Source organism: Homo sapiens, chromosome 9, assembly GCF_000001405.40.
Source record: "Homo sapiens chromosome 9, GRCh38.p14 Primary Assembly".
Classification (NCBI taxonomy): Eukaryota; Metazoa; Chordata; class Mammalia; order Primates; family Hominidae; genus Homo; species Homo sapiens.
Window position 1 is genome coordinate 61889379 of NC_000009.12, and position 15354 is coordinate 61904732.

The following is a 15354-nucleotide window of genomic DNA, read 5'->3' on the forward strand; positions in this document are numbered from 1 at the left end:
AAGTGCTCAATACTTTTTGTTTTTGATTGAATGATAGAATGACGAGTGAACTCTATTTCCCACTAGACTGTGAGCACCATGTTGACAGGGACCATGCCCTGATCATCTCTGGATCCTTAGGGCCTATATAGTGCTTGCCACATAGGAGGTGCTCAGTAGACACTTATGGATTTGAGTGAATGGACTTCAGTTTCTCCACTTACAATCTGAGTAAGAGGAAGATATTCTTTGCCCTCTCTCCCTCCTTCTCCAGCCACATTGGGGGTTGTGGTTGATGCTGTGAGGTCGTTCCTGCCTTATTCAACTTCATGTCCAAATCTTCTATGGCAAAACACAACATGGTGGCCAAGTCTCAGAGTCCAGGCATCCCTCCCATAGCCCATAGCCAAGTATGGGAGAAGGGTGCTTCAGGGTCTCTCTCCATTCACTTTAGTCTCCAGCATTAGCCAAGATCCCACTGTCTACCCTGAATTCTTCCTGCTATTGCACAAGGTTTCTTTCATCTTACTGTATTGTCAGGGAAAATATAGCCAAGATTATCTGCTCCTCAACCTGAAGTAAAATATAGATTCTGCCTAATTTTAGAACCGGTGTTAGCCAGGTGTGGTGGCTCATGCCTATAATCCCAGCATTTTAGAAGGCCAAGGCAGCAGGGGAATCGCCTGAGTCCAGGAGTTCAAGACCAGCTGGAGCAATATGGCAAAACCCCATCTCTACAAAAAAAGCAAAAAAATTAGCTGGGTGTGGTGGCACACACCTGTAGTCCCAGCTACTCAGGAGGCTGAGGCAGAGGATCATTTGATCCCGGGAAGTGGAGGTTGCAGTGAGCCAAGATCGTGCCACTGCACTCCAACTTGGATGACAGAGCACGATCCTGTCTCAAAATAAAAATAAAGAATAAAACCAGTGTTTCCACATCTGGAACTTTCTTTTCAAGTTTATATCACCTCTCCTTCCAAATCAGGTCTCCCCTCTTCCAGGAAGTACTCCTTGATTAAGCCAAAAATGTTTTAATTTTCACCACTTGTCCTATTACTCTGCATCCCCACAGCACTTGTAGTTTGTACTTATTCCCTATCCTGTTTAAGTGTGTTCATCATCCTAACCATACTGCATAAGCAGGCACTATTTTAAGTAGGCTTGATAGATTATCAGAAATTGACAAGAAAAAATACACACCAAGAAGAAAGTAGAAGAGGATTTTTTTCTTTTCTTTTCTTTTTGCTTTATCATAGAATTTCTTGTCTTGGTGCTTACAAGCTGTGTAGCACAATGAGAGGAGAATGTGATTTCTGCAAAACATTTCAGGAAGCACAAAGAAGTATCTGTAAATACCCAGGAATAATGACCATGTCTTTTATTTGTATTATTTTTCTAATTCCTCCACTCTATAGGGTTTGCCCAAAGTCCTTGATTTAAGCCCTTGAGTGTTGATTGGCTGACTTAGCTTTGGATTGTGGTCCACTGAGATCGCTGGATCTTTTTAAGCTTTAGAGTTATGCCCTGCCATGTGGATGCAGGTGGAGGAAGGACTTCTCAGTGTGACCCATGAGAGGAGTAGCTCTCCTGGGCCCCAGGCCCCAGGCTGCATGTGTATGGGAGGGAGGAGGAGAAGCAAGGAAAGGAGGAGAGACAGAAGTATATACTGAGCTGGTATTTGGGGGAAGGGTTGGCGGGTTGGGAGAAGGGAAGAGAGGAGTCTGGGCCAAGGCCAGATGTGTCTCCCTGGGGAGTCCTCAGAGCGGGCAGCCGGACGTCGCTCCATCCTTCCCGCCTGACGGATGGGTCTGCTGCGCAGGCACAAGCTGTCGGGCCAGGCCCTGCCAAGGCAGAACAGTGGCGCTTCTGTGCGCGCTGCTCCGCTCCGCTCAGGAGGATGGGGCCCGCCCGGGAAGCCAGGGAGTGATGGAGAAAGCAGACGTCCCAGAACAGGAGCCGCGGGGTCACAGAAGCACAACTGCGTCCCGAAACAAGGAGCCACAGGATGAGGTGGGAGGGGACCGGGAATCAACGCGGGGGAGCGTTTGGGGGAAGTGCTGGTCGAAAGAAGAGAGGCAGAAGGACGCGCGCTGAAGGAGCCTGGGGATGAAGAGCTCGATGATTTGGCCACAAGCCCCCTCACCTTTAAGAACAAAGCTTCCTGCATTCAGTTGCAGAGTTTTGTTTCCCGGTCAGATGCTCAGAGACCTTCCAACCTGTCCCCCACCCCTCAGCCTTGCCCATCTCCACGGGCATCTTCCGCGCCCTCGCCCGGGACTCGGAGCCCACCACCCTCCGCCTCCGCCTGGCCTGGCCCGCTAGATCCCTGACGCTCCAGTTCGGAATCTGGGATCCGCAGGCTCCCAGATCCGCCGCTGGCCCGGCTCCGACCCGCCCGTCAGCCGCCTCCCCCTCAGCGTTAATTAAAACTTGCGAGATGGAGAGGCTGGCGCGGGCGGCTCCGTTTAATTTGCAGCATCTTTCATGCTGCTGACGATCGTAAAGGGCTTTAATATTGAAATATGGGCCATTTTCCCAGCTCCAGCCCTCGCCGCGCGCTCCCCGCACCCCCACACCCAGCCACCCCGCGCTTGATGAAAGAGCCCCTGCAAATCCATTAAGGAGAGATAATTGAAAACTCCGGGGTAATATTTAAGACCGCGTGCCGACGCGGGGTGGAGGGCCTGACTGCGCCCGCTTTGCCCCTCAGTGCTGGTGCGTGCCAGTCCCTAGCGCTCTAGGCCCACCAAAGCCCCGCGGACGCCCAGCCAAGGCCCGCCGTCTTAGCGGTGCCTCCTCACTCCCTGCACTCAAAGGGCTGGCTCTGCGCTAACCTGGCTCTTCCGAAGACTTGCCTGGAGACCCGAGTTCCAAAAGGAGCCACAGGGCATGCTGTGTGACAGATGCATTAGGGCCAGAATGCACGGGGGCCAAAGCATCTTGTCCCACTCCTTCAGCTTCGGTTTGATGTACCAGCATCAGGCACTGCTCAAGCTTCTGAGCACAGCATCCCCTCTGCCTGCAAACTTTTCCCTCCAGCACTTTCTACTTGGGGAATTGCTGTTCCTCTTTCAAAACCAACCCAGTTCCACCCCAAGTAATGGTGCAGTGGGGTATGGAACGTGGGTGGGAGTATAGACACGCCAAGATCCTGGTGTGACCATTGTTGCAGTTGCATGATGAGGACACTATACTGCTCTGTTTTCATATGTTTTCAATGTTCCACGACAAACATGTTTAGAAAGCAGCTGAAGCATCTTCTTTTATGCCTCCCTCTCCCATAAATACAGACTACCTGTTATCTTGTACATTGATGTTCCTTAGCACATCGTGTTGCCATTATCTGTTTAAAGTCTTTCTGCCTACTCAGCTGTGACATCTTCAGGACAGGGATCAGGTCTAATTTCACTCCTTAGCCCTTGCTCCAGGCCCAGTGCAAGGCACATAACATGCGCTCAGTAAACATCACTGAATAGGCTGCTCTCTGGGTACCTAGAAGTCTCTAGGGCTTAAGGTTAGGATACAAGCACACGGAAGGAGGGTAGGGCAAAGCGTGGAAGAAGGGTGGGGTCTGTGAGGCTGGGTTGGGGATCATGTCTCTCTCCCACAATGACTGGCTTCAGGATGTTCCCAGAATGGGAAAAGGGTAGAGGACCCTGTTCTGCACTGTGATTTAGGAATCCTTAGGTCTCTACCTGGGACTTTTGGGGATGTTTCTCCACTTCACTCCATTTGGCTTACTCTCCCAATCAGGTTAGACACACACACACACACACACACACACACCACCACCACCACCACCACCACCACCACCACCACCACACACCTTAGACAGGGAAAGAGTGGGAAAGAGGGAAGCAGAAGAGATTATTTGAAGACCTACTTGTGCAAAAGGCATGAGTAGTTCAGGCATTTCCATGGATACCCAGCTAACCCCCTACCACAGGGCCTTTCCTACTTACCCCTGTTGCACAGTCTTCCCCAACACTGTGTCCAACACCCATACAGGGGTTATACTCACAGGATGGCACTATCGAGGAAGAGGGGGCTGTTCTGACTCAGCCCCCCTAAGCGCACATTGGCCCTGAAGCCACAGTTGCAATGATGCCCTCTCTATGGCCAGAATGAGATCCAAACCATTCCAAAGTTCCATTTCCAAATAAGGACTCCTCGTTAGAACTACAAAACATCAGAGCTGGAGGCAACCAAAAGAGCACTGTGTCCCCTCTTAGTATCTGTGGGGCAACTAAGACTTAGAAAGGGTCTGTGATGTGCCCCAGGTCACAAAGCCATTGGTAACTGGGCGGGCGGGGTGGCTCACGCTTGAAATCCTAGCACTTTGGGAGGCCAAGGCGGGTGGATCATTTGAGGTCAGGAGTTCGAGACCAGCCTGGCCAACGTGGCGAAACCCTGTCTCTACTAAAAATACAAAAATTAACGGGCAGTAGTGGAGCATGCCTGTAATCCCAGTTACTCAGGAGGCTGAGGCAGGGGAATTGCTTGAGCCTGGGAGGCAGAGGTTGCAGCAAGCTGAGATCATACCACTGCACTCCAGTCTGGGTGACAGAGTGCGACCCTGTCTCAGGAAAAAAAAAAAAGCCATTTGTAACAAAACCAGTGCTAGAATCCCAGAAAGTTAGTGGTGGAGTTGGAATTAGAATCCCAATCTCTTGACCCACTTAAATATATACAATTGGTATTCGAAGTGCTTTTCACAAACATTATCTCATTTAATTCTCTCTCTCTCGATAGGATCTCACTGTGTCACCCAGGCTGGAGTGCAGTGACATGATCATGGCCCACTGCAGTCTCAAGCTCCTGGGCTCAAGCAATGCTCCCACATCAGCCTCAGGCACATGCCAACACACCTGGCTAATTTTTGTATTTTTGTAGAGACAGGGTTTCAGCATGTTGCCCAGGCTGGTCTTGAACTCCTGGGCTCAAGAAATCCTCCTACCTTGGCCTCCCAGAGTGCTGAGATTACAGGCATGAGCCACCGTACCTGGCCTCACTTAATTCTCACAAACCTATGAGATAGCGTCACAATTCCCATCTACAGATGAGAAAAATGAGGCTCAGGGAGAGCCATGATTTGTCCAGTGTCATACACGGGTGCAAAACAGATCCAGGATTTGAACCCCAGTTTGACTGGCTCCAATTCCAGTGCCCTTTCCACTCACTTCTCCAGTATCTCCCCCTACACCCCACCCAGCCAAGTCAGACCAGTTTCCCAGACACTCACCCTTCATCCCTGGACATCTCCAGCCAGAGGTCTTTTTTCTCCTTAGCCCAGCTTCCCCCACCCAGGGCAATGTTCTTTGCCCCAGATTTGGAGGTGGGGGTGTGGTAGTCTCCGCGGTGGTTCTGGGTACAGGCCTCCATGAACTGAAGCCATGCACAGCCTGGCCTCCTTTGCGTAGCCCTACTCCTGTTCGTGGCCACGGAGGCCTCAGCCATAAATCCCCAGGTCTCGGCTCATAACCATTAGCAAGCGATTGGGCTCATCAGGACTCCTTTATGAGACTCGGGTCAAATAAAATGGATTGCCGGAGGTCAGGAACAAGGGATCTCCTTGCCTTGCCTTGCTTCCGAGATGCTCCCACCGCCCAGAGGTTGGCAGATTCTGTTTGACTCACAGCTGTAGGTGGAAGTGGGGGCATTGTCACAGTGGGATAAAGATGTATCCCCTGGTACTCCACACCCATGGAAGGAAAAGCGCTTGGAGATGCACATCCTCATATAGCCCACAGTCATTAGGGCTGGAGGAACACACACACAGAGGCACATATACACACTCAGACCCCCATCTCTGATTCAAATCCACTCTTCAGCAACCAACCCCCCAACCCCACCCACCTCACATCATCTGATGTCCTCACACTCCATCCCTCCTGTGAGGTATTTCCTGAAACACTGCTTCTCAAACACCACTGTGCATACAAATGACCTGGGACCTGGTTAAAATGCAGATTCTGACTCAGTAGATCTGGGGTGGCACCTGAGCTCTGTTTTCTAACCAGCTTCCAGGTAAGGCCAGGGCTGCTTCTCCAAAGATTTTAAGCAGTGGTCCTCCCACATTAGAAGGGCAGGGGCTTTCAAAATGTAAAAGAGATAGGAGAGTGCAGTTTGGGAAAGCTCCTCTCCCACTCCCATCCCCCAAATGCTGCTGTGCACACCCAGGTGACTGAACTGTTTCTAGAATGCTGTTACCTCACTCTTTACATGGCTCCCTCTCATTCTTCAAACCTCAGCCCAAGTGTCACTTCCTCAGAGAAACTTTCTCTGACCACCCAATTTATTTTATTTTATTTTATTTTATTTTATTTTATTTTATTTTATTTATTTTGTTTTTTTGAGACGGAGTTTTGCTCTTATTGCCCAGGCTGGAGTGCAATGGCACGATCTCAGCTCATGGCAATCTCCGCCTCCCGGGTTCAAGCGATTCTCCTGCCTCAGCCTCCCAAGTAGCTGGGATTATAGGCATGCGCCACCACGTCTGGCTAATTTTTGTATTTTTAGTAGAGACAGGGTTTCTCCATGTTGGTGAGGCTGGTCTCAAACTCCTGACTTCAGGTGATCCGCCCGCCCCAGCCTTCCAAAGCGCTGGGATTACAGGCGTGAGCCACCATGCCTAGCTGACCACCCAATTTAAAGGGTCCCTGCTCCACCCTGTCTGTGATTACCCACTTCACAACAGGTCTCAAAATTGCATGTATCTATTTGCTAACTTGCTTACTTATTTTTTTGTCTGTTTCACTCTCTGAAATGTATGGTCCTTGAGTTCAGGGATTATGCCTGTTCCATTTATTCATGAATTCTTGGCAACCTGTGCCCAGTGCATAGTAGATACTCAGTAAATATTGCTGGATAGGCCAGTCACAGTGGCTCATGCCTGTAATCCCACCACTTTGGGAGGCTGAGGGGGGCAGATCATTTGAGGTCGGGAGTTCGAGACCAGCCTGGCCAATGTGATGAAACCTCGTCTCTACTAAAAATACAAAAATTAGCTGGGCATGGTGGCACAAGCCTGTAATCCCAGCTACTCTGGAGGCTGAGGCAGGAGAATCACTTGAACCTGGGAGACACAGGTGGCAGTGATCCAAGACTGCCACTGCACTTCCACCTGGGTGACAGAGGGAGCCTCTGTCTCAAGAAAAATAAAAAATAAAAATAAAAATAAAAAAATAAAAGATTATCTGAAAGAGTATCTGAATCCAGGACTGAGGCTGTAGGTAATCTGAGAAAGTATCTTGGAGGAAGGAAAATTGGAGGAAAAGAACATTGTGTGAAGGACTTAAGAAAGGTGACTCAAGGAAAGTGGGAAGGCAAGGGTATCCAGATAAGATTGGCCCCATTGGTCCTGGGTTGATATGACAGGGGTGAGGAAGGGTCCTGGAGGGAGAGATCCTGGGGGTAGCAGCAGATGCCGCAGGGTCTCGGAAACCATGGCAGGCACTAAGAAGACACGTGGGCTTCCCTCCACCTCATGGACAAGGACCTTCATTTATTCATTCTTTCCTACACTTGACAAATTCTTACTGAGATCTTATTAGGCGCCAGGCACTGTGTTTGGTGCTGAATATTCAGGAATGAGCACAATGGGTCTGGTTCCTACCCTCCTAGAGATTACAGTCCAGTGGGAGAGACTGACAGTAAACATATTAATATGTTACAGTTGGGCCAAGTCTACAAAGGATAGGGTATGATAACATGTATGATGGGTGGTTCCCTAGGGAGAAGTTTCCCTAGGGAGTGACAGTCACCCAGAGTGCTGATGGGTGGAGGTCTTTTTTGCCAGCCCCCTGCCAAGCTTTCGTCCTGGACTTTCCTGCATTCCTCTGCACTGTCCCTTTAAGAGGAGCATCTCTTCCCTGAGCAAAGGCAGTTCGGGCACACAGCCTGAGCCTGCCAAGGTTGTGGGCCATAAATCAACGCTGGCACTCCCTTGGCAGTGGGCTCTCCTCTGAGCTGCCCAGATGGCAGGCAAGCCTGGGGCTCCAGGGGCAGCCAGGCACTCAGGAGGGGGGAGGCGGGCAAGGTGTGGACACAGCTGGGCCCCAGGCTCCTGATGGCAGCTGCCCACTTCTGTCTAAGGGCCCTAGGCCAGGGAAAATGCCAAAGTCCTTCTATTCTAGTCCCAGGGACCTTCTGACTCCCAAGTCAGTCTAGCATGGGGCTGTTGAGATTATTGTTCCCACCCCAGCCAGGGACCAGGGCCTCATAGGCATCCTCTGAGACCAAGGGTCTTGGATGATCTCTTGGGATCACAGTCTGCTCTAACATTCAACCTGAAAGTTCTGCCTGTGGTTTGACCTTCTTTCCTCTTGCTGTAGCCAAGGTGTCTTCTTTTACCCTGCATGAAAGATGAAAGACAGTAGCTCCCCATTTAGTGGGGGCTTTGGGACTGTGTGATATCTCCCTCCGCCTTCACTTTAAGCCTCCCAGAAAAGCAGGATAAAAAGATGCTTCAAAGTCAGTTGGAGAGATGGAACTCTGCCCTCTTGGGGGTTGCCATCCCTCTGCCACCCTCACAGGTGCTGTGACAGAGGGAACATATGTTGCTCCTACCCCAGAGGATGGAGACAACATCTTAGCAGCCACAGCCCCACAGAGCTGGGCTCAGCAGGCCTTGACAGAACTGAAAAGGCATCCTCTCTCCTGGGCCTGGGCCTGGCCTAAGCCTGGGTTGTGGGCGGAGGGGTGGAAGCAAAGCCTGTAGACCCCTTCCAGAAAGGAATCAACAGGCTTGACTGCTCTCCCCACGCTCACTCCCAAACAGTAGAACAGTGGAAAATTCATGGGTTCCAGAACAATAGAGATTTCCTGGGATGTCCTTGTCCTCAGATTCTCTGTGAGAAGTCAGAGTTTACAAGTCCTTAGAGATTCTTTCTCACACACTCATCATACAGATGAGGAAACTGAGATGCAGAGAAGTTCACCCAGGTCTTTTTCAGGTTGTTTTTACTACACCACATTTGCCACATGAACAGAAACTCCCAGAGCTACCACTAAGCAGGATGTATTAGACTCTAAAGGTAGTAGCATAGATGGAGGTTAGGTAACAAGTAGAACTTTCTCAGAATAGTAGGTCACAGAAGAAGATGAGAAGCAAAGTAAAGAAAGTGCATTCTCTAAAACAGTGGGGTGGGGGTGGGAGGGATGGAGCCAAAGAATCAGGTTAGAATTTTGCAAAAAGATAGAAATATAGAGAACACAGGAGAGGGAGCTGGCATAGAGCCCAGAGCAAGGACAACTGGGGTGTGGAGCTTCTGGGGTTCTTCATTCAGGACCCCTAGATTTCATCTGTCCCAGGCTTCTGGGTATCACCAGTAGTTTAAAGTCAGGACTCATCTGGGCTGATTCTCTTGGCTTTCTCCTTGCTCTCCCGGGATGGCTTATCTGGCTGCCAGAGTCATTTGCCATCTCTGATTTGTGTTTAAATTAAAGTTCCCACAAACAGAGGTTTAATGTGCTGTTACCAAGAACTCCCAGGCCCCCTGCAGCTCTGGGAAGTTGAAGGGGCTGGGGAGAAGAGGTCAGTCTGTGTGCATCCCATCAAAGCTGATCCCACTGGCATTGGACCTGGAGTGGACAGCCCAACTAAGTGTCTCCGTCCTTGCTGCTCCATCCAGAATGGTGATGACAGGGGGCAGGGCAGGGAAAAGCATGCTCACAAAGGGCCTGGGACCAACATGCCCGTTCAGGGGCTCCTGGGTGGCTGTTCACCCTTTTTCAGGATGGTGAGGAGAAGGCAGGGGAGGTGGGCAATGAGAAGAGGGCAGGGGGTGGAAAATAAGGAGAGAGCAGGAGGCTCCATTCTTTAACACTTGTGTATGGCGCTCACTGTGTGCCAGCACTGTTCCTGGGCACCTCACAACTACAAATTCAACCTTCTACACAACCTGTAAGGCAGGTGTTGTTATCATTAGCCCCATTTTTATAGATGGGGAAACAGAGGCATGCCCAGTATCACACAGCCAGTAAGAGGCAGATCCAAGGAGTCAAGCCAGTGCCATCTAGCTCCAGATTCCCAGTGCTATGCTGACACTTAAGCCAAAATTTATCTGTCACCCTCCCAATCCCTTGATCACAAGGTGAGGCTTCTCTTTGCCAGAGCAACTGAGACAAAGTGAAGCTCCCATCCTGCTCCCCAGATCTTTACCTCTCTGGGCCACAGTCTTCTCATCTGTAAAATGAGGATAAGATACTAGGAGGGGTTGAGGGTCTGGGAAGGTTTAATGAGACAGCTTGTCAGTGACCAGCACAGGGTAGGTCCCCAGCAGTGGCTGTTTCCTTCTCTGTAGTCTAACCATAAGCCTTCCTGCTGTGCCTTCCTGCACTGCCTCTTAATTCTGCTTTCAAAGGAGCTAGTGGCAGTGACCCTCGCCCCTTAAAGAAACTCTCAGGAGAGCATTGTTCCTCATTCATTTGTCCAAATTCTCTCTCTTCCTCTGGGAAACCCTGAAAAAGAGGGATAACAAAGCTGAACTGGAGCCCCAACCTGCTCTGTCCCCACCTCCTCTGCACCCAGGTGAGCCAGTCAGGGTGGCAACAGAAAATAAATGACACATTCGAGAGGGTTTCACTGAAGGGTTTAGTGATGTGGCAGTTTCTAAAGGCATAGACCAGATGAAGAAAACTAATAAGGGCTAGTGTGGCACCAGGATAGAAATATCTCTACCAAAGCCCAATGCCAACTGGGCTCACGGGACACAGGAGAGAGGCCACTCAGCAAAACTGTGACCAAGGAGGAAACACAACCACCACCAGAGCTTCAAGCAGGCAAAAAGGGGGGCTGACAGGGAATGGAGGAAACAAATACCCTGACTCCTCTCTCCCCCTTCTCAGCCGGGAACTCTATTGGCCGAGAGATCAGGGGGCCCATGTGACACAGTCTGCAGAGGTCAGCCTCCCTGGGCAGAGCAGCACAGAGAACACAGTGGGGCAAACATAAAACCATCCCCGTCCCATCCCACCCGTGAGTCCCTGCTTGATACCAAAGCCTCCTCTCTGCTGCTTTATTGCCACCACTGTCACTGCCTGCAGCCAAACAGTGACTGACAGGGAAGGAGAGTCAAGACTCCCACAAGCAAATACTCCAGCTCACAAGGAAGGTGGGATCCAGGCAGAGGGCAGCTTGAGGGAAGAGGGCTGTGTCTGAAGGGCAGCAGAGCAGGGACTGCCCACTCCCAGCATGGAGAGACAAAGAGAAGGACTGCACTGGGGGTGAGGATGTCAAACGATGATAGTAAATGACTCTCTTTCCTCAGCATATGATACAAATCACTGTGGATCTCCCTTCCTCCTCCCCTCTCTAGACCGGGAGCCCTTGTGGGGAAGGGATTTTGTCTTGTTCTTCCTTGATATCTAGCACAGTGCCTCTTAGGGGCATAATCAGAATTTATTGAATAAATAAGCAAATAGATATGTAAATGAATGAACAAACCCATTTGCAGCTCATATGCACAGCCCTGGGCCCTGGTCAGGGAGCACTGTTGAATGAATGGCATGCAGCATTCCTACAGAAGTTTTATTTCAATCAGTTCCATCACCTACCACCTCAGGTTTCCTTTCAGCCACTGAGTCACGGGCCACACAGCCCACATTTGCCTCCACGCTGGCCAGAGGCTGTGCTTTGATAGCACCCACTCAAATGTACAGTGACCTCATCTAGCTCCTCCTGATGGAGGAATGAGGGGAGTAGCAAGTGACTTCCTTTCTCACAGCAGCCTTTCTGTGAGCTCTTTCTTTTTTTTTTTTTTTTTTTTTTTTGAGACGGAGTCTCGCTCTGTCGCCCAGGCTGGAGTGCAGTGGCGCGATCTCGGCTCACTGCAAGCTCCGCCTCCCGGGTTCACGCCATTCTCCTGCCTCAGCCTCCCGCGTAGCTGGGACTACAGACGCCCGCCACCACGCCCGGCTAATTTTTTTGTGTTTTTTTAGTAGAGACGGGGTTTCACTGTGTTAGCCAGGATGGTCTCGATCTCCTGACCTCGTGATCCGCCCGCCTCGGCCTCCCAAAGTGCTGGGATTACAGGCGTGAGCCACCGCGCCCGGCCTGTGAGCTCTTTCTTGAGAGAAATCTTGATCCATGGCAAACCGTCTGTGGTATTCTCGGCTGTAGCCCTTGGTGGGAGATGGGGGGAGGGAATGACAGTGCCAAGGATGCAGCTGAAGGATCGTCACCCTGGGAGCCACAGCTCTGGCTTACTTTTTCCAATGGGCCATAAAGACTGAGGGAGGCAGGCGGAAGCAGGGGCACCAGACTAACAAACTAGAGTTTCAAGTGTAGTCCCCAGGCGATGCCCACCTTGCGAAGTGGTTACAGATGCTGGGGCTGGGCTCAAGATGCCTGTTCTACCACATGCTGGCTGTACAACCTTGGGTAAGATACTTGATTACCATGCCTCAGTTTCTGCATCTTAAAAAATGTGAATAACAGTAATGCCTACTTCACATGGTGGTGAAAAAGTAGATGAGTTAATAGTTATGAGATACAGCCAGGCCTGGTGGCATGGGCCCATAGTCCTGCTACTCAGAAGGCTGAGGTGGAAGGATTGCTTGCACCCAGGAGTTCAAGACCAGCCTGGGTAACATAGCAAGACTGCTCCCCCACTTTTTATTTTGAGATGGAGTTTCACTCTTGTTGCCCAGGCTGGAGTGCAATGGCATGATCTCAGCTCACTGCAACCTCCACCTCCTGGATTCAAGTGATTCTCTTGCCTCAGTCTCCGGATTCCAGGGATGAACCACCACACCCAGCTAATTTTTGTGTTTTGCATTTTTAGTAGAGATGGGGTTTCACCATGTTGGTCAGGCTGGTCTCGAACTCCTGACCTCAGGTGATCTGTCCACCTCGGCGTCCCAAAGTGCTGGGATTACAGGTGTGAGCCACTGCGCCTGGCTGCAAGACACCCATCTCTCTAAAAATGAAAGTTTTGAACTATTTAGGAGAGTACATGATCCATGGTAAGCTCTATATAAATTTTGTTACATAAAATTAAGGTTCTAGTCCCATAAACTTTTTTCTGTAATAAGCTGCTCAGCCTTAGATAAATCTCATATTTGCTGTGAGAAGTGAACAAATGCATGTGAAAACTGTAATGTGTTTATAATTTTTATTATTTGTCATCAAGATCATGTAAGAGACCTGATTTAGTAGAGGGTGAAGGGATGCGAAAGAGGCTGTCAGTCATCAACTTTTGATTATCTGCCTTGTTAAGGTCCCCTTCTTGTCAACATAATCAGCTCTTTGGCTTGTTCAAGTCTTTTGTTGACAATATCCAGGCCTCTCATGGTTCCTCCCACACACAACGGGCTGCACAGCAAGGGCTGGAAGGAAAAAGCCTTTGAAGGCAAAACGGGTCCTTCCCTTCCTTAGCCTTGAAGCGGGAATAACCACTAGACAGAAGGCTGTGAGGGAGGACTCAGGCACTTCCACTGTGGCTGCTTTGCCTTTGGGCAGGAGGGGAAACTGATCAGCTCCCTCTGTGGTAGGGCCGCAGGAAGAGATGTTGGCATTTGTTATGAAGTGCTAGGCATAAAAACACATACATGGCCGGGTGCAGTGGCTCACGCCTGTAATCCCAGCACTTTGGGAGGTCGGGGCGGGCGGATCACAAGGTCAAGAGTTTGGGACCAGCCTGGCCAACATGGCGAAACCCCGTCTCTACTAAAAATACAAAAATTAGCCAGGAGTGGTGGTGGGCACCTGTAATCCCAGCTACTCAGGAGGCTGAGGCAGGAGAATCACTTGAACCCAGGAGGTGGAGGTTGCATTGAGCTGAAATCATGCCATTGCACTCCAGCCTTGGCAACAAGAGCCAAACTCCATCCCAAAAACAAACAAACAACAACAACAACAAAAACAGAAAACAAAAAACAACAAAAAAACCCATACACACATACTTATCCCAGTGTCCAGAGCAAATGTTCTGCCACTTACTGCTATGGGTGTGATTTCAGATAGCTACTTAAACCCTGAGTTGCGGTTTTTCTCATCTTCAAAATGGAAATATTGATGCCTAATTCAAAGGGTGAAAATTAATGAACTATAGAAACCCCTTGGTGTATGTCTGGTCCAATAAATGGTAGCTCTTTTTAGCTAACATTTTGTAATATCTGCCCACTATCTCCTCCAAGGGATGGAGAAGTAATGCTGACTTCCAGACTAGGAAAGGTAGCGGTAGCAGAAAGTGATTTACAACTCGACATTTTTCACATTTTCTTTCCAGAGCACATAGTAAGTTCTTGTTGGTTCATTCATTCATTGAACAGTGTTTAGAAGTTTGAACAAGCTTGAACAACTTGCCATCATTTTGTTCACTTGTATTCATCTTACTCTCACCACTAGAACTGCAAGGTCCATGAGGGCAGAGGCAGTGTCTGTTGCTGGGTGAGTGACTGGATTGACCTCAAAGCATGTCTGAAGACTGAAATGGGCCAGGCAAGGAGATGGACACTGGAGGCCTGGATTCTGGGCTCAGTCATACCTCCAAGAACATAACTTTCCCTCGACCCTGGAGTCTTCACAGACCTTCCTTCCACTGTGAGGCACTGGATAATCACTTGAGACCAGACTCAGGGAACTCCTCCCTCATGGGAAGACATTCATTCATCCACTCCATGTCTCTGAAGCCCCAAGAGAAGGATCTGAATCCCCTAGTCTGAAGAGTCAGCAAGTTTCCAACACAGCAATCATGATAAAAAGGGAGAATTGATAAAGGAGGGAGCAGCCCCAACTCAGTAACAACAGAGGGAGGAAAATTCCAGCTAGTACATATACTTAATATGAAAGCAGACATGTGCCAAGACCCTGCTTTCATGGATATTAGGTGTTCCCAAATATAAGAAACACCCATTCTTGCCCACAGGCCTCACTGGATACTATCCAAGATGTCTAGACAATAAGAGGAAAGAGAGAATCATAATATCCAAAAGGTGGAAAAAACCCAAATGTTCACCAATAGATGAACGGATAAACAAAGTGTGATATATCCATACAATGGAATATTAGTCAGCCTTGAAAAGGAATGAAGTACTGATAAATGCCACAACATGGATGAACCTTGAAAACACTATGCTCAATGAAAGAAGCTAGTCACAGTAGGTCTCTTATTATATGATGCCATTCATATGAAAGTCCGGAATAGGGAAATCTACAGAGACTGAAAGTACATTAGTATTGTTAAGGGCAAGAAGGAATATGGGGGGATAGGGAGGTGATAGCTAAAGGTTACAAGATCTCTTTTTGAGGTGATGAAAATGTTCTAAAATTAACTATGGTGATGGTTTGGCATACCTGTGAATATACTAAAACCATTGAATTGTACATTTCAAATGGTGAATTGTATGACACATGAATTATACCTCAAGAAG

At 49.3% G+C, this 15354-nt stretch overlaps 1 annotated feature.

The window, feature by feature from the left end:
* Positions 1421-2169: an enhancer, noted in NCBI's record as "H3K4me1 hESC enhancer chr9:45762061-45762809 (GRCh37/hg19 assembly coordinates)". NCBI's record gives its function as "activates a minimal SCP1, AML or CMV promoter by ChIP-STARR-seq in primed H9 embryonic stem cells {active_cell/tissue: H9 hESC(primed)}" and the evidence as "EXISTENCE:reporter gene assay evidence [ECO:0000049][PMID:30033119]".